This window comes from Homo sapiens, chromosome 19 (assembly GCF_000001405.40).
Source record: "Homo sapiens chromosome 19, GRCh38.p14 Primary Assembly".
Taxonomy (NCBI): Eukaryota; Metazoa; Chordata; class Mammalia; order Primates; family Hominidae; genus Homo; species Homo sapiens.
This window is the reverse complement of record NC_000019.10, coordinates 47096559-47114426: the sequence shown is the minus strand read 5'-3', so window position 1 is coordinate 47114426 and position 17868 is coordinate 47096559. Positions and strand designations below refer to the sequence as shown.

General features: G+C 48.9%; 1 protein-coding gene across 13 annotated transcripts in view, besides 9 other annotated features; it reads left to right on the top strand.

Moving 5' to 3' along the window:
- Positions 509–738: an enhancer, noted in NCBI's record as "active region_14858". NCBI's record gives its function as "activates an Ori minimal core promoter by ATAC-STARR-seq in GM12878 lymphoblastoid cells {active_cell/tissue: GM12878}" and the evidence as "EXISTENCE:reporter gene assay evidence [ECO:0000049][PMID:35858748]".
- The window catches only part of ZC3H4 (zinc finger CCCH-type containing 4), a 49590-nt gene continuing 32372 nt past the window's right edge, over positions 651–17868 (top strand). For 2 of the 13 annotated variants that reach the window (XM_017026530.3, XM_006723113.4), the window contains exons 1-2: positions 651–1713; positions 1838–2003. In XM_017026530.3, the coding sequence (XP_016882019.1) occupies positions 1843–2003 (161 nt within the window). In that variant the 5' untranslated portion in view covers positions 651–1713; positions 1838–1842. Of the gene's footprint in view, positions 1714–1837; positions 2004–2168; positions 2280–3470; positions 3533–3552; positions 3789–14079; positions 14533–14577; positions 17624–17868 lie in introns of those variants that run through there. The other 11 variants (XM_047438516.1, XM_005258678.3, XM_047438515.1 and 8 more) reach the window with 8 other exon arrangements.
- Positions 979–1138: an enhancer, noted in NCBI's record as "active region_14857". NCBI's record gives its function as "activates an Ori minimal core promoter by ATAC-STARR-seq in GM12878 lymphoblastoid cells {active_cell/tissue: GM12878}" and the evidence as "EXISTENCE:reporter gene assay evidence [ECO:0000049][PMID:35858748]".
- Positions 979–1745: a biological region, named in NCBI's record as "NANOG-H3K27ac-H3K4me1 hESC enhancer GRCh37_chr19:47615939-47616666".
- Positions 1018–1745: an enhancer, noted in NCBI's record as "NANOG-H3K27ac-H3K4me1 hESC enhancer chr19:47615939-47616666 (GRCh37/hg19 assembly coordinates)". NCBI's record gives its function as "activates a minimal SCP1, AML or CMV promoter by ChIP-STARR-seq in primed H9 embryonic stem cells {active_cell/tissue: H9 hESC(primed)}" and the evidence as "EXISTENCE:reporter gene assay evidence [ECO:0000049][PMID:30033119]".
- Positions 1549–1638: a silencer, noted in NCBI's record as "silent region_10838". NCBI's record gives its function as "represses an Ori minimal core promoter by ATAC-STARR-seq in GM12878 lymphoblastoid cells {active_cell/tissue: GM12878}" and the evidence as "EXISTENCE:reporter gene assay evidence [ECO:0000049][PMID:35858748]".
- Positions 1746–2474: an enhancer, noted in NCBI's record as "NANOG-H3K27ac-H3K4me1 hESC enhancer chr19:47615210-47615938 (GRCh37/hg19 assembly coordinates)". NCBI's record gives its function as "activates a minimal SCP1, AML or CMV promoter by ChIP-STARR-seq in naive H9 embryonic stem cells {active_cell/tissue: H9 hESC(naive)}" and the evidence as "EXISTENCE:reporter gene assay evidence [ECO:0000049][PMID:30033119]".
- Positions 1889–2378: a silencer, noted in NCBI's record as "silent region_10837". NCBI's record gives its function as "represses an Ori minimal core promoter by ATAC-STARR-seq in GM12878 lymphoblastoid cells {active_cell/tissue: GM12878}" and the evidence as "EXISTENCE:reporter gene assay evidence [ECO:0000049][PMID:35858748]".
- Positions 3932–4659: an enhancer, noted in NCBI's record as "H3K27ac hESC enhancer chr19:47613025-47613752 (GRCh37/hg19 assembly coordinates)". NCBI's record gives its function as "activates a minimal SCP1, AML or CMV promoter by ChIP-STARR-seq in primed H9 embryonic stem cells {active_cell/tissue: H9 hESC(primed)}" and the evidence as "EXISTENCE:reporter gene assay evidence [ECO:0000049][PMID:30033119]".
- Positions 4292–4529: a silencer, noted in NCBI's record as "fragment chr19:47613155-47613392 (GRCh37/hg19 assembly coordinates)". NCBI's record gives its function as "represses an EF-1alpha promoter that drives an FKBP-Casp9 reporter gene in an ReSE screen in phorbol 12-myristate 13-acetate-treated (for megakaryocytic differentiation) K562 erythroleukemia cells {active_cell/tissue: K562(+PMA)}" and the evidence as "EXISTENCE:reporter gene assay evidence [ECO:0000049][PMID:32094911]".

Genomic DNA, 17868 nt, shown 5'->3' with positions numbered 1-17868 from the left:
ATTACAGGCGTGAGCAACATCGCCCCGCCTGAAATAAGGTATTTCTTCTGCCTGGAACCATCTCTTCTTTTTCATGTACCAGCCTAAAAGAACAATTACAAGACCCTCCTCTAACACTCCACCCACCCCCTTTATTCTTTAACTCTGTTTCTCTCCCTTGGGGCATTATCGGTTAAGTTCCATGAAGACAGAAACTGTTCCCATGCTCCATCACAGGGACTGGCACTGTAGAAAGAGCTAACAAGTATTTAAGGAAGATCCCTGGATTCGAGGTTACAGTGAGGTATGATCGTGTCACAGCACTGCAGTCTGGGCGACAGAGCAAGACTCTGTCTCTTAAAAAAAAAATCTTGCTGTGCTTTTTAGAACTAATCCTATGACCGTGAACCGATTACTTAAAACACCGAACTTCAGTCTGCAAATGGGAATAGCAGCAGCTTATGTTAGGACGGTTATGAGGGTCAAAAGATTTTGTTTGTACAGTCTACGACACCGGCCAGTGTTTCTAGCTCTGCTATTTGAGAGCCTTCCATGGGTCCTACACCCCAGGTCCTTAAACTCCCCTGAGGGACTACCAAGCCCCGCCCCTCTCGCATCCAATGATGACATCATCGACTGGGTTGTCGAGTGACGTCACCTCCGGGCTGGCTGGGCTTCATCGCTTCTCCGGAAACCTCCGACTCTCGGCACCTGGCCTCCAGCTTTCGGTTATTTTTTTTTTCCCTCTCCGTAGCCTGAATTCCTTCCCTCCCATTCTCCCACCTAAAACTATTGGCTCTTCCCGCCTTCCTTCAAACTAGCAATTTTCGGTTTTTCCCTCTTGCTCTCCGGCGAATTCCTGAAAGTCGTTTATTCTCCCCTTCAGCCCCGCCCGTTCAGCTCATTCTCTTAATCGCATTACCCTGGCTGCTTTTCTTTCGGCTGTTTCCACCTCCTGCCACCCACCCGGACACCGCTTTCGGCTCTTTCCGGACCGTCTCAGTTTCTCCTCCTTCCCCGGTCCCGATCGGCTTAGGCTATTTATGGCTCCCCTAGGTTTCTCATGCTCTCTCTAGCCCCACCCATATCACCACCTTCAGCTCTTTCTGGCTCTCCCCCGTCGCCTCCTCGCTCCTGCTCAGCTCCTTTCGGCTATTTCCGCCTCCCCTCGGCCTCGCCCTTTGCCTTCGGCTCTTTCCGCCGGCCTTCGGGCAAGCGGTCTCTACCCCTCTCCTGCACGTGACACGGCCTCCGCCTCCGCCTCTCAGTTCCCCCTCCCATCTCACCCTTCCTCCCGCCTCAGCCTCTAGGCTGGTTCGGGCCGAGCCGCCATTTTGTGTCAATTCCTGATTGCGGCGGGGGCCGGGCAGCCGGGGCACCCAGGGCGGGCAGAGAAGGGAGACAGTCGGCCCGTCTCCGCGGCCCGTTCCCTCTCTCCCTCAAATCCTTTTTTTCTTTTTAACCCCCCACCCCCCTCGCTCGCTCTCCTCTTCTCCCCTTACCCTTCGCTTGCTCCATCGCGCGCGGCCCGCGCTAATTACACCCAACCACCCACCAGTGTCCGTGTCTCCCGGGTGTCCCGCCCCCCGGGGGTGCGTGGGGGGGGGGCTCTCGCCCCTATGAGGGCCCCGCGCCAGTGAGCGAGTGACCGCAAGGGTGGGCTGCGGAGAAAGCAGGCGGCGAGCGGCCCTCCGAGGCCTAGGCCGTGCGGCCTACGCGGAGGTCAGCGCAGAGGTGATTCCGAAACCGAAAAAATATATACCCCATTCCCATCAGGAGCCCTCCGAGCTTAAGTGTGCCCCTCCCGCCACGCCCAAGCAGTCCTTTTTCGTGCATTAACATCCCCTCCCCCCCAAAGGAACTATGGAGGCCGCGCCCGGGACCCCCCCGCCGCCGCCATCAGAGTCGCCGCCGCCGCCATCGCCGCCGCCGCCATCAACGCCTTCGCCTCCTCCGTGTTCCCCCGACGCCCGCCCGGCCACCCCGCACCTCCTCCACCACCGCCTCCCGCTCCCTGACGACAGGTCAGGCCCCCGGTTGGGCCGGGGCTGCGTCCCCGGGGGGAGGAAGAGGAGGAGGAGGAAGGGGGGCGGCCGCCATGTTGGGCCGGGCCGCGGAGGAGGAGGAGGAGGAGGAGGAGGAGGAAGGGCGGGGTCGGTGGGTGTCTCTCGATCGCTTGCTCGCTCGCTCTTTCTCGCTTGCTTTCTCTCCCGGCCTCATGCGTTTCCCCCCCCTCGCGGCGCTCGCCCGCTCTCCCTCGCTCTCGCTCTGTCTTTTTTGGGCGCCATGCTGAGGGGAAGGTGAGGAGGCGCCCCTCGGACCCCCCGCGCCCGTCCGCCTGTCCTGGGGAGGGGGCGCCGTGGGGGGTGCTGCGGAGACCCACGGGGGTCCTGGCTGCCCCTGCGCCCGGAGCTGGCAGCTACGGGCCCGCTTGCCCGTCGCCTGGCTTCGGGGAAGGGGATGGGGGAGGGGCTCCGGACCCTTTTTGGGGGGATCTCGAACAACAGCCCCGCTCTTAGGGGTTTGGGGTTGGGGGTCTCCCAGCCCCCGGCAGTATCCTTTCTCCTGGGGGAGGCACACCCTGTCCTACTTGGATGATAGGTACTTTAGCTTAGGAGGCAGAAGGTGGGGGTTCATTCAGGTCCCTTCTCCATCCTTGTAATTGGGGGTCATTTGGGTGGGTGCTCTATAGCACTTGTATTTTTTGGCGGGGGGTGTTTTTTAGCTATCCCCTAGAAGGCCGAATTGGGGAGGGGGGAGATGCATCTCCAGCCCTTTTGATGAAAACCCCAGCCTATTTTTTTAGAGAAGACTCTTCCCCGTGTTTTTGCTAAAGGGCAGGGGTCCTCTCGCTTTTCGTAGGTAGGTGACGTGAGGGAGGATTCTCAGCCTTGTTTTGCGGGGGTAAGGTTTGGTTTCCCTGCCTTGTAGGGAGAGGAAGTTGGTCCCGCGCTTTCTCCTGGGGTTCCCCCCTCTGTCGGGGTAAAATGGGGCACCGTCTCTTCCGGGAGAGAAAAGGAGATTTCCTTGTGCTTTGGCAGGGCGTTAAAGGAAGCGCCCCCTTCTCTTTATTAAGTCCGAAACGCGGGCCCCCCACGCCCTTCTCTGGCTGGCGGGTGATAATGGGGTCAGCCCGGCGCGTTTCAGGGCGAGGTTGGGGCCCCGTTTCCTTCCCCTGCTCGAGCAGAAGGAGTTGGGGTGCAGGGTTCGCCCACTGTTTCCTGGTGGGGCGAGAGAAGAGGCGGCTGGAGAGTAGGTTTGGACACGGACGGTGGGTTTCAGCCGGCAGGAAAGCGAGTCTTGGAGGGAATGGGGGTGGAGAGGGGAAGAGAACGCTCTGGACAGATGGCTACTCCGTCGCAGCCCTGGCTGGGGAGCCGCTGAGGACCCTTCCTTAGCCGGGGGGTCTCAGCCAGGGCTTCCCTTGCCAGGCTGTACGTACGACCCCTTCTCCCCACTCCCACCTCCCCTTTCCCCTTTCTCCTTCACAGACCATACTTTGCCTTTTAAAAGAAATGCCACCCACATTCAGAGACACAAGTGCAGCAGTTTGGTGAGCTTTTACAACATTTTTTTTTTCTGTTTTGTTCTAATTAAATGTATCGTCCTGGGAATCGCAGCCCATCGCAGCCCGACTCCAGTTCAAGGAAATAAACAGATTAGCAAAGGTCTGTTCGCTAAGCCCTCGTTGGGCTTCCGGGCCCCCTCTCCGGGGGCAGGTGCATTACTCAAAGGTGCTTACACGCTTTATTCGACCTCTAAGGAGTTCTCTTATGTCAGAAGTGTATGTCTTACAATGGGTTGGGATGGTAAGTAGCCTCTTTTATTGAGTAATTCAATGATCTCCCTCTTTTTCTCCCTTTACTGCCTGCCTTCCTCCTCGCCTTTAGACCAAAGTGATGCTTGAGAGTGAATTGATATGTTCGAATCAGGATTCTAACCCTGTTGAGCCCTTTTAGACTTGCACATCCTTTCAATGTTTAATTTTTAAAATTTGACGTACACAGTTTTCTCAGAAAAAAAAGTGTGTTACTGTAACATGACAAAAATCGATGTAAAAGGCCCGTATGTTTTCAGACCCTTGGCATCCTTCTTTCCATTTCAATCCATTGCTTTGTCTCCAGCCTTCATCTTTGAAGAAAGTGGATACTTCAAGTCCATTTGTAGGAGACAAGCTTACTGGATTTGATTTATGATGCAGGTATTCAAATTAATGGTTCCCCTCCCCCCCACTCCCCAAAAAAGATTGGTTCAAGTAGCTCCAATTTTCTCATTTTACTCCAATGTCTCTTGTGGTGATGGACGTTAAAATTGAGCAAGTCATTTGTAAAGTACTGTTGAAGCACAAAATCTGTAAACTGTGTCAAGCCCCCATCTCTGCCTGTCTCCACTGCTCCTTTGTTCGAAAGCACATGTCTGACTGTGAAAAGTTGATGCAAACGTGTTACACGCCCAGTCATGTTGGAGGGAACACCTCCTCCAGCCCCCAGTCCCCCCGGCCTCCACGTAACAAGGAAAAAACAACAACAGAAATGACTTGCAGAACCAAACACTGTACTTCTGATGTGTTTTACAAGCATAAGTTCCGTTAAAAGACAAAACACGTTGAAGTTGCATTTTCCCAGTTTCCCACTTTTGATCCCTGACATACTTAGAGAACCCTGGCCCTCTCCAAAAGAACCGTTTTGTTTTTTTCCTTCTTACAAGGAAAAAAGGTCACGCACATGTAGATGAGGAAACTGCAATTCAATAGGCCACTTGTTTTCTTCCTCTTAATATGTTCACAACTGCCGTAGAGTGGTGATCCTAGGTATGTAAAATCAGTTACGGGAGGAAGAAATCTCCAAACTACGATATCCTGCAAGAAATGTCTGAAGCACGAACCGAACAAAACACATTATCCAGGGCACTGGGTCAGCCCAAAATGAATTGCACTTATTTGAAGTTTCCCATCCTTTGTAAAATTCTTTCTCCAGGAGCTGAGAACAGAAACTGGATGACTGATGACCCAAGTTCCAAAGGCTACTAAGTTGCTTATTTAAATTGACTTTTAAAAAGAAACGTTAAGGAAATGAGATTTCTTTTGTAAGTGAAATTTTTTAGCAATGTTCAGTGAATTTGAAACTATTTCCCCAAGCATTTAAAAAGCTCACAGGCATGTCAACACAACGGTTTATTGTTTTCCATTCTCAAAGAAATCTCATCCATTAAGACCTAGAAGCCCCAGTAATTAAGTCAAAAACTGTATTTTGGTAATCTGTTTTTGAAATGTCACAGTACTGCCTTTTTTCCCCCCAGACTGATGTACCAGTATTAGTTAAAAATCAAATTAATGGATGTTGCAAAAAAAAAGAAAAGGGTGTCACTCAGAATCCCTGATTTAATAACAAATCTTATTATACACTTACAAACTTTTACATTTTTATTTTCTCTGGGTGAGAGATTTAACTTGAAAGCAAATCAAAGTCTCCTAGTAGAAAAAAAGTCTGTTGTGACCATGGAAATATGGATGTTCTCGTCATAAAACCCCTTTATTTTTTAAAACTCCTTTATTTTTTTAATTCCCCTCAAATTTGCTCTTTAAAAGAAAAAAATGCGGTTCCCCAAAATGACTAATTCATGGCCTGTCCTCTCCCCCAGGTACAATTTTGCTCTGCTCTGAAGGTTTAAATTTTTGATTTCTTTATAAGCCATAGTTTTCTCTAAGTAGAGCCAGCTATTTTAGTAAGCCACTGCTGTGGTTTTTCCACAGCCAGGAAGGCTGATCCCAGGGGAGAATTGTTTTGTACCTGTGGACCTGGCTGTTCAACTGCCTGGCAAGTTAAAGATGAACGGTTTTGACTCTTGCGTTTCCATACAGTTGAATGTAGAGCAATTTCATATTGGGCCTGGTTAGTAATTTATTTAACGGTGCCTACACCTCTGCTTCTTGCTCTTAGATCTTTTACCTTCTTCCCTGATGGGAGAGAAATGGCTGTCTGAGGGTCCTTCACTTCCTTTTGTTACATTTTTATGGCTATTGGGCCTGTAGAAACATCTCTCCATAGAGGTCAGATCCAGTTACAGTAAATACCTCTGGTGAAAATTGCTAATGAAACTATTTCCAGGTCTCCGTGGATAGCTATCAAGTCAAACCAGATTCTAGAGAACTTAATTTTGGTCCCCACGAACAGTAATTCTAGTGCCAGAGCAACTGGGTCCGATTCACACCGAGAGTTGAGTGACAGAGTGAATAGCAAGCAAAGTAGCTGAATTGAGCCAGGCGCTTAACCTGTGCCTTGGCAGCACAGCTAAGAAAAAAGGATGACTCCTGAGATTTCTGGCAATTGGTATTTATTCAGCAGATCAGAGACTGTAGGAGCAGCCTCATTGGTGGAGGGACTCCTCTCCGAATAACATGGTATGAAGCCAGTTTCATAATTAAAACCTAATAGGATGGAAAAGCTGCCAGTTTGTCTGGGTGGCATGTCAAGTTCATGGGGATAAGTTAAAGTAAAAATGAGATTGATTGGGGGGAGCCAAACTTCATGGGTTTGACTCCCAGTTTCTTGGCCTTGTCTTTGCTGCAGAACGCTTTTGCTTTTAGGAGTTAATGCAGATGCAGTTTTGAAGACATTGTGTACAGTTTCACTGGTGATGTAATGAGGTGCGATAGGCAGTTTATTTTAAATAGATTTCTGGCACATCACCCATTGGGGTGACTCTTAGTAGTTGTTGACAAAAATGAAGATACGGCCTCTTGGTTGGTGCTAGATTTAGTTGTGTCCTGTTACTTTTTTTTTTTTTTTTTCTTAACAGAACGCAGGATTATTTGCTGAGAGCATAGTTTGCTGCTTCTGGCCAAACTGGTCTGCATAAAGGATCTTTCTCGTGTATTTTTTTTGCCATTTCGCATCTGTGTGAATAGGTGACTCAGTGCCCTGTTTGTCAGGCAAGTGGTGACATCTTTTTGAATGTCGGAGGTGGCAACAGGATGTGGAGGAAGACTGTGGACTTTGGAGCCAGATAAAACTGTTCAGGCCTGGCTTCTCCCCGGCAGTGTGCAGTAGGCATCGAGTATAAAATGCCCACTTCTCAGGGTCCTTGTGGTCAAATGAGTGCATTTGGGGACACCCACACAATGCCAGCATTCAGTGAATCTTCCTGCTTTCCCTACTAGAGAAGAATTTGAAACAGAACTTTTACAGTTGGTGTATAAACAGAAGTAAGAATAACATCTATTTTTGAAGGAAGTGCATTTATCTTTCATCTCTTAGGGTTCTGGTCAGCTTATTTAATTGCAGGGAGCCAATTGGGGTTGACACTAAGTGGAAGCCATCTTAAGATATTTCTTGCTTGCTCAGTGTCTTTTTATGGATGCTCAAATGGTCATACTGTCTGGAGCTTAATGCTGACTGTACCTCCTGTGTTCATCTTTTGCAATTAGAGTCCGAGTCAGTGCTGTAGTCTCAGTAGGGCTTCTGAGAACTGGGAAGCCAGGGATCTAGAATCTCATACCACTGCAAACTAGTCAGTTTCCCCACGCAAGTCCTTTACTCTCTCCAGAGGGGAATGAACAAGGTCTCATCCAGCTCCAGGATTCTTCACTCCTTTGGGATCTGGCTGAGTCAGATAAGGTTTTGTTCATTCAGTAACTGAGTTCCTCCCCGGCTTTTCTTGGAGCCCAAGAGTTTTCTGAGTGTGCAGAGAACCCTTCTATCATGAAGACTTTATTTAGAGTCGGGCTAGGGTTGTTACTGCCTTTACCAGGCTTCGTATTCCCTTCCTCTGTGTCTGGCCTACCTTCTACAGTTTCTGGCCACGATAAAGGGTTGCTGCTGCTGCTTGCAGCTTACTAATATGCACTTGGAAAGCAGATGCCTTAATTAATTTGAAGGTTAGGCTCAGTGGCTAGATCACAGGCAGGCCCATCAGGTTCCTGGTCATGCCTGTCAGTTGTCCCAGAAAGGATAGAGTGAACTCCAGAGCCAAAAGCTTTGTTTTTTCTCTTTTATTGAGACAGGGTTTTGCTCTGTTGCCCAGGCTGGAATGCAGTGGCACCTCATAGTATTAATAGCTCACTGCAGCCTCGAACTCTTGGCTTCAATGATCCTCCACCTCAGCCTCCCAAAGTGCTGGGATTACAGGTATAAGCCACCATGTCTGCCTGGGTGCTGCCATGTTCTCTCCACACGGGATTGGCCCTCTGCTGAGAGTGATGGGTGGTGGACAGCTATGGTTGGGGGAGTTAGGCAAACTGGATGTGATTCTTGAGTTCATCTCCTAAGTCAGTGTCTTTGTCTTTCCGAAGGGGCAACAGTGCCATTTGTGCACAATTGACCTGAAGGTCAAAGATTATCTGCCAGAGCCCTTCTGAGTGCTTCTCATGCATTAGCTCATTTAACCTTTACCTCTGCTGTTTGAGGAGAAACCAAAACAGAGAGGTGAAGTCACTTGTCCCAGGTCACAAAACAAGTGTGTGCTGCAGGCAGAGTTAGAACCCGGGGTGGCTGGTACTCAGACCCCATCTCTATACATACCATTATACTGTGGTGGATCTGGTGTGCTATTTTTCAGACTGTGGGGTATAGCCACTAGTGGGATATGAAGTCCAATTATTGATCTTTTTCTTTTGCATTGGAAAACCAAGGAAATGGAAGAGGAGAGAAAAAGCAGAATGCATTTAAATGTGGCTTCTGGAAACTTTTGTTTGGGAGAAATGCAAAGAAGCAGATGTGGGTCAGTGTCAAAAAGTGTGAAAGCCGTTGCATCCAGGCTAGGGGTCGGCAAACTATGATTCTCGGGCCAAAGCCAGCCCACCCAGCCTGTTTTTGTAGGTAAAGTGTTTTTTTGTTGGTTTGTGTTGTTTTGAGACAGAATCTTGCTCTGTCACCCAGGCTGGAGTGCGGTGGCATGATCTTGGCTCACTGCAACCTCTGCCTCCTGGTTCAAGGGATTCTCCTGCTTCAGCCTCCTGAGTAGCTGGGATTACAGGCGCACACCACATGCTCAGCTAATTTCTGTGTTTTTAGTAGAGATGGGGTTTCACCGTGTTGGCCAGGCTGGTCTTGAACTCGTGACCTCGAGTGATCCACCCTCCTTGGCCTCCCAAAGTGATAGGATTACAGGTATGAGCCACCGCGCCTGGCCAGTAGGTAAAGTTTATTGGCACACAGCCATACTCATTCATTTATATCATCAGTGGCTGCTTCTACGTTACAGCAGCAGAGTTGAGTAGAAAGTTGCTGCCCACCACGTGATATGGTATGCACTGTCTGGTATGCCTGCACAGCAGCCATTGTCATTTTTTTTGTGGTGGGAAGGAATGAGGAGGGAATATAGATATTCCATTTAAAGTTGGCCCTCGAGAGGGTGGGGGTGTTAACTGTTTCCTCAGTCCACTGTGGCTCCATTCTCCCTGCGTTCCACTCCTTTCAGTGAATGTAGAGGCCCAAGCCTAGGCTTTTAAACCCTCTTAAATGGAAGGGATTTTCATTCATTAGAAGTAACTGGAGACTTCTTGAGGTCCCGTGTGGAAGTGGATCATGGCCATTACATCCCTGCTATGGCCTAACCGAGGGAGCTGGGCCCAGACGCTAGTGTCGCTTGGCCAAAAGTCTGTTGCAGGTGGCTTGGATTATTGCCCTCCTCATTTTCCTAACAGACACCAGGGCTTAGGTTTCCTTGGGATTCCAGGCAGGCCCTGCCACTCCACGGGGAACGAGAGCAGTCACAGTAACTGAAGCTTGTGGGCCACACGGGTGGGCTGCATCCGAGGCAGGGCCTGTCTCCTCTGTTCAGTCTGTGCATCCATCACTTTCAAGCTTATTTGGAAACCCTTGATAAACACTTGAATGAGTTTGTGTCAAAGTTTTAAGTGATACAGGTTGCTGAAAAAGTTTTCTTGGAAATTAGTTACTGTTTCTATTGATGAAATTGACCAAAAGGGTATGAGAGCTGAGATTGATACTTCATATAGAATATGCACTGAGCATGTACCCAATCTGTACCTGGCCCTGTGCTGGGCCCTTGGAAATGTGGGGTTACTGTGAACCTCATTCTTGTCTGCCCTTAAGGAACCCACAGGTGACTAGAAATTAACGAATAGGTTGTATCAGTTCTTTTTAAGAAATTATTATTATTATTATTTTAGACAGAGTCTTACTCTGTCACGTAGGCTGGAGTGCAATGGCATGATCTCAGCTCACTGCAACCTCTGCCTCCTGGGTTCAAGCGATTCTCCTGCCTCAGCCTCCTGAGTAGTTGGGATTACAGGTGTGCGCCACCACACCCAGCTAATTTTTGTGTTTTTAGTAGAGATGGGGTTTTACCATGTTGGCCAGGCTGGTCTTGAACTACTGACCTCAGGTGATCCACCTGTCTTGGCCTCCCAAAGTGCTGGGATTACAGGCGTGAGCCACTGCGCCTGGCTAAGAAATTCTTTAGGTGGTATATGAACAAATCTCAAGAATCTTAGGCCCAGATCTCTTATTTATTTGTTTATTTTTATTTTTACATATTTTTTAAGACGGAGTCTCGCTCTTTCACCCAGGCCGGAGTGCAGTGGCACGATTTCAGCTCACTGCAAGCTCTGCCTCCCGGGTTCATGCCATTCTCCTGCCTCAGCCTCCTGAGTAGCTGGGACTACAGGCGCCTGCCACCACGCCTGGCTTATTTTTTTGTAGTTTTTTTTTTTTTTTTTTTTTAGTAGAGACGGGGTTTCACCATGTTAGCCCAGATGGTCTAAATCTCCTGACCTCGTGATCCGCCCGCCTCGTCCTCCCAAAGTGCTGGGATTACAGGCATGAGCCACTGTGCCCGGCCAACGGGCTGATTTTTATATTTTTAGTGGAGACAGGGTTTTACCATGTTGGCCAGGCTGGTCTCGAACTCCTGATCTCAAGTGATCTGCCTGCCTTGTCCTCCCAAAGTAATGAGATTACAGGTATGAGCCACTGCGCCCGGCCTGAAACCCTGTCTCTACAAAAAATACAAAAATTAGCTGGGCATGGTGGTGCATGCTTGTAGTCCCATCTACTTGGGAGGCTGACGTGGGAAGATTGCTTGAGCCCAGGAGATCAAGGCTGCATTGAACCAATGATCACACCACTGCACTCCAGCCTGGGTGACAGAGCAAGACCCTGTGTAGAAATAAATAAATAAATAATTATAAACAAAGAGAAGTCTTAGTTCATAAGTTAAATTATTAGACTTTCTCCTCTGGAGTGATAGAAATCGGTCCTCTGATGAAAACCATGATCTTTGCAGCTTTAAACCATCTGAAGCTTAGTTGGCATGAGAAGGTGGTTAGAAAACTCTTCATTGCTGAGAAGCAAATTCCAGAGGTTCATCTGCCAGGAGTAACTTGGATCTGAGGGATAGATACCTTTGCTCAAGAATGCAAATTTTCAGAGCTCGTGGGAGTGGAAGAATAGATACTCAGGCAAAAAAAATGGCATCTTTGTCTCCACAAGCTTCCTTTTAGCAGGCTGGGTTTTTTCACGGTCAGCCTGTTTGAAGCTTTACAGAAATGTTCTGCCTAAGTGGTTTGCATGCTTGGACAAACCCCAGAGTGGACACTGCACACTTGGGGGCGAAGGCATTCGTTTCATATTAGGGGACTTTGGAATTTCACTCCCTGGGATTTTTGTATTGCTTTCTCTTTGTGTTGGGATGAGTCCTATTTTTTTTTTTTTTTTGCCAGAATTCCTTCGGTCTTTCCATGAGCCCTTATTCTCTATCCAGATGTCTTTGGTTAGGTTTTTGAAATGCTACCATTTCCTTCACTTGATATTGGAAGGACCGTATCGGCCTTGTGTCTTTGTGTTTGGGTAGGTTTTACTCCTAAGCATTTATTCTGGGCAAGGTTCCTGCTAAGTGCTTGTGTTACATGGCCTCATGGGATTCTCCCATGACACCATCCTGGGGACTCCATGGTTGCCTGTGCTGCACAGTTATGGAGACTGGGGTGCAGAGTGTTTAAGGAATTTGCCCAAAGTCTTGGTACCTCATTCTGGCATTTCTTGGAATACTGATTCATGAAGTCTGTTTTATGTATGTATATCTTATTTTTCCCTACTCGATTATACATTTCAGGGTGGGCGTTGTTTTGTCAGTTGACCTGTTTAGCAAATTACTCTTTTTGACATAATTTGTAGTTGTCAAATAATTTGTAGAGGTTAAGAGCTGGTCTTTGCATCCAAAAGTACTGGACTTAGTTTCTAGTTCTGCTTCTTCCTGCTGTGACCCCATGGGCAAATTCCTTCTTGTCTCTGAGCCTGTTTAGGCCTTGGTGAGGAGTGTGGAGGCCTGCAAGCCCAGATTCCAGCTCTCTGCTGGGAAATTATTAAATAACTGCTTGGGGACCTTGCAGCCTCTCCTCACATTGCTGAGTTGTCCCACTTGGAAGTTCTTGTTTTCTTTTTCTTTTTTTTTGAGACGAAGTCTCAATCTGTCACCCAGGCTGGAGTGCAATGGCATGGTCTCAGCTTACTGCAACCTCCACCTCATGGGTTCAAGCAATTCTCCTGCCTCAGTCTCCCAAGTAGCTGGGACTACAGGCGTGTGCCACCATGCCCGGCTAATTTTTTTTTTTTTTTTCGAGACAGAGTCTTGCTCTGTTGCCCAGGCTGGAGTGCAGTGGTGCGATCGCTCATTGCAACCTCTGCCTCCCAGGTTCAAGTGATTCTCCTGCCTCAGCCTCCTGAGTAGCTGGGATTACAGTCGTGCGCCACCACGCCCAGCTAATTTTTGTATTTTTAGTAGAGATGGGGTTTCTCCACGTTGGTCAGGCTGGTCTCGAACTCCTGATCTAGTGATCCGCCCGCCTCAGCCTCCCAAAGTGCTGGGATTACTGGCATGAGCCACCGTACCTGGCCAGAACTTTTTTCTTTCTTAACTTTTTATTATGGAAAAAAAATTTTTTTTAGTTATTTATAGAGGCTGGGTGCAATGGCTCATGCCTCTAATCCCAGAACTTTGGGAGGCCAAGGCAGGAGAAGGCCAAGGCAGGCTTTAGTCCAAGAGTTCAAGACCAGCCTGGGCAACATAGAGAGACCCTGTCTTTAAATTATTTGTGGAGACGGGGTCTAACTGTGTTGCCCAGGCTGGTCTCTAACTCCTGGGCTCAAGCAGTCTGACAGGGTCTCACTCTGTTGCCCAGGCTGGAGGGCAGTGGTGCAATCATAGCTCACTGCAGCCTCGACCTCCTGGCTGAATCGATCCTCTCGCCTTAGCCTCTTGAGTAGCTGGGACTACAAGCACATGCTGCCAGGCTAAGTTTTGTATTTATTGTAGAGATGGGGTTTCCTCATGTTGCCCAGGCTGGTCTCAAATTCCAGGGCTCAAGTGATCCGCCTGTTGGCCTCCCAAAATGCTGGGATTACAGGCATGAGCCACTGTGTCTGGCCTATACCTGTAGATTCTTCAGTATGAATCTCTAACTTTATGATTATTTAAAAACATAACTACAGGCCGCGTGTGTTGGCTCACACCTGTAATCCCAGCACTTTGGGAGGCTGAGGCAGGCGGATCACCTGAGGTCAGGAGTTCGAGACCAGCCTGGCCAACATGGCGAAACCCTGTTTCTACTAAAAATACAAAAATTATCTGGACGCGGTGGCAGGTGTCAGTAATCCCAGTACTCAGGAGGCTGAGGAATGAGAATCACTTGAACCCAGGAGGCGAAGGTTGCAGTGAGCCGAAATCACGCCACTGCACTCCAGCCTGGGCGACAGAGTAAGATCCCCGTCTCAAAAGAAAAGACAATAAAACAAAACAAAAAACCTTTCTACAAAACTCATTTCTAACAAGATTAACAATTAATATCTCAAATACCCAGGCTGGGTTCAGATGGCTCCAATTTCTCCTATCGTCACATCCACCAGTAGGTGTCTTCGTATCTAGATGCCAGCAGTGGGTAGACTGTCTTATGTTGAAGTGAGGGTGTAGGGTACAGGGTACAGATGCTGATGCCTGGACTTCTCTTTGCCAGTTTTGTGTCTCACTTGGGTGGTTGCCGTGGCGTAGGCACGTTACCATGGAAATGGCATGATGTCACAGAGCAGGCTATGATGACACCTGAGAATGCTGAAGAAAAGGAGACAGAGCACATTTGTTCTTGGTTTCTGGTTGATGAACCTAGGTAGTAAGGACACTGAAAAGCATGTGCAAGACCCAGAGGTTTATTTCAAGAATTTCCTGGCTCTGAAAATCCCTCCGTGAGGTTTCCCCTATGGCTGCTTCATTACGTCCTAACTCAAGGGAAGGTCTCGGGCCTTTCTTTGGCATGAGCCCTGAGCTGAATTTCTGAAGCAAAGGCCCTGCGCCTTCAATCCTAATAAACGACTAGTCCGCAGAATCGGACTTGGGGATCCTGGACTTCTGCATTTAGGCTGGTTGTTAAATATTTGAAGAGGCGGCGCCTCCTTGTAATTTTTGTGATTTTGTCCCTAGTTAATGGGTCATTCAGAGCCTACCCAGGCAATTTGTTGAGAGTCTGGGCAGTTAATGATCATAACCCTGACCTTCACATTAACCTAGCCGCCTCTTATCAAGGGCTCTCATGATCTTAAGGTAACCGCTGCTGTTCCCATGAGTTTCCATCTTTTGTGTTGTACTTTGCCTTTTTTTTTTTTTTTTTTTTTTTAAACTCTTGTAAACCAGGTTGATCCATAAACCCTGGGCCCCTTTCAGCTTTCGTCCAACCCTCTTGTCTAGAGAGCTGCCATGTTGCCAAGCTTCATTTCTGTAAGAAGCCTTTGTTCCTTCCCGGGGCTCAGCTCTCCCTACGCCTTTTTGTCTTGATTAGCCACTTGGTGGCTTCTGGTACTGCCTAGATTAGAGCTGAGGAAGGGGAGATGTTGCTTTTGTCAGTTTTGTCAGCAGGATGGCTTGGGAGAACAGTGTATGTGTGGTTGTGACCAAGTAGAAAGAACTTGTTGACCAGCAGTCAGCAGTGTCCGTCAGGGAGAGCTGGCTGCAGCTTTCTTTTTTTCTTTTTTTTTTTTTGAGACGGAGTTTCACTCTTGTTGCCCAGGCTGGAGTGTAGTGGCGTGATCTTGGCTCACTGCAACCTCCGCCTCCCAGGTTCAAGTGATTCTCCTGCCTCAGCCTCCCGAGTAGCTGGGTTTACAGGCGTGTTCTTCCAAGCCCGACTAATTTTGTATTTTGAGTAGATATGGAGTTTCTCCATGTTGGTCAGGCTGGTCTTGAACTCCCGACCTCAGGTGATCCGCCCACCTCGGCCTCCCAAAGTGCTGGGATTACAGACGTGAGCCACCGCGCCCGGCCCTGGCTGTAGCTTTCTTATAGAGAACATGCTTCCCACTTAGCATTCCAGCCAGTTAGGGCTTTCCGTGGAGAGATGCCCTCATGCTAGCTGGTTTTTAAAACCAACAGCTGCTTCTTCCTTTGTGCCTGTTCCTCATGTCAAGGGCTTTATCCCTATTATTTCATTTAACCTTCACAGCCCTTGAGATAGGTGCTGCTGTTATCCCATTCAGTAGATCAGAAAAGCAAGGCTCAGGTTACAGACTAAGAGCATACTCCAGAGAAGAGGTGGAGCTGGTTGAGTTACTTGGTCTGCAGAAAGGAGCATGAGGCCCGAATCTGTAGGCTGCTGGATGAGGCAGTATGAAATATCTCCTTTGAAATATCATGTCTACTTTGGACATGAAATATCTTTTGTTTTGTTTTGTTTTTTGAAACCGAGTCTCTAGCTCTGTCACCCAGACTGAAGTGCAGTGGCGCGATCTTGGCTCACTGCAATCTCCGCCTCCCAGGTTCAAGCGATTCTCCTACCTCAGCCTCCTGAGTAGCTGGGGCTACAGGCACCCACCACTTCACTGGTCTAATTTTTGCATTCTTAGTAGAGACGGAGTTTCGCCATGTTGGCAAGGCTAGTCTCAAACTCCTGACCTCAGGTGATCTGCCTGCCTTGGCCTCCCAAAGTGCTGGGATTAGTTTTTTTTTTTTTTTTTTTGAGACACAGTTTCACTCTGTCTCGCAAGCTGGAGTGCAATGGCACAATCTTGGCTTACTGCAATCTCTGCCTCCCAGGTTCAAGTTCTTGTGCCTCAGCCTCCTGAGTAGCTGGAATTTCAGGCACCCACCATCGCGCCCAGCTAATTTTTGTATTACTGGTAGAGACAAGGTTTTGCCGTGTTGGCCAGGCTGGTCCCGAACTCCTGACCTCAAGTGATCTGCCTGCTTTGGCTTCCCGAAGGCATGAGCCACCACACCCGGTCTGAACATGAAATGTCTTTACCAAGCACTGTTTTTGCCAAGTCCGTGGTGTGTGCTGAACCCAGCATCCTTGTGGGCCCTGTGGAGTTGGCCTGTTCCTTAGAGTGGGCGTCCAGATCTGTTCTTTGACCAGGGGGAGGAGCAGCCAGTGCTGAAAATGGGAACCGAAATACCCGGGAGCTTTGTCCGGGAGGTACGGGGCAGGACTGGCTCAAGGCAAGGCGTTGGCCTCTTCCCATTTCCTCATGGGGGCCAGTTCCAAGTCGGTCTCCCAGGGTGGTTGCTTTCTTGTTCCCGAGGGCTCTGGGCAGCGGACCGAGTGCAGCCATGTCAGGCGTTGCCAATCCAGGCTCTGGGAATAGAGTGCTCCCTGCACAGGCCGCCACGGCAGGCTTTTCTCCTGCTTGCTTGTCTCAAGAGAGTTTGGCAGGTCTAGATTGAAATGATTAGCGCGGTGGGGCTTCCCCCACTTTTCTTGGGGGATTATGTCGAGGTCTATTAAGCATGTTCCCTTGGCATTTAATCCCACTCTGACACGGATTTTGCCGGCAGTCTGTTAAGTGGCATCGCTGAAACCTGGTTGCTGTTTTGTTGAGACCGCCTTTGTGCCGTCGCGCTGGTGGCCCACGGGATTCCCATTTGGCTCGACTTCCTTTCTTTTTGCTTTCTGTTGAACAGAGTCTGAAGAATATAGTCAAGACCTCGTGTTCACGCAGGACGTTTAGCTAGGAGAGCATCTTGGGTGTCGTGAGGGGGGACCCCTTGAGGTGACTGTGGACAGAAGTTAGCCCAGGGCTCGGAGGGGCTTGAGGGCCTGACATGGCCAGAGGGCCCTGAGAATGCAGTGATCTGTTTATTGTTGCTGTCTCAGTGCCCCTTTATCAACCGTCAGCAGTTTAACAACAACAAAAAAATCCTATGTATTTCTCTGCCTCTCTCAACTTTAGGGAAACAAAATTTCAAGTAGTCACTGCCTGTTTTGTGAAAAGTTGTATGGTTGATTCTCTTTGAGCCCAGATGTGCCTGGAGCTGTTAATATCGATAATGTGCAGAATCCCTCTTTGGCTCAGGTCTTTGTAGGGTGAATTTGAATGCTGCACTTCTCTACCTTGGTGATTCCTTTCTAGAATCATTCTGGATGATGGTTAAGGCTCTTGGAGTTCCTTGAATGGTCTTTTGTCCTCTGCCCGCAGGTGTTAGATGTAGAGTAGCCTGTACCTTCGTCCGAGCCAGCGAGTGGCATCAGGACAGGGAAGGAGGCCTCAGCTGACCCTGGGCAAGACTGTCGCCTGCTGTGCCGCGGTGTTGGACATAAGGGAGGGCGTGCTGAGGCTGCCACCCACTCCGGCTCAGCTGACCCAGCCCTGATGATCAGGCACCTGCCTTGTGGACCAAGTTTCTTGTCAGTGCAGAAAAGGAGGTAGTCAAGCAACCTGGCACAGATATGGCATTTAAAATATTAGTGGCCTGGGTGGTGATCATGTCCCTCTCAGCTTTATCCCTTCTAGACTTAAGTGTCGAGAGTAATGTTGTTCTTAGCTTTTCTTTATGGAACCCCAGCATGTATACCTCCAGTCTGTCCCGGGCCTTCTCCCGCTCAGTCTGTCCGTCTCTCCCTTTCTCTTGAGGTGTGGCCCTGGCCTGCCCCCAGTATTCCCATCAGGG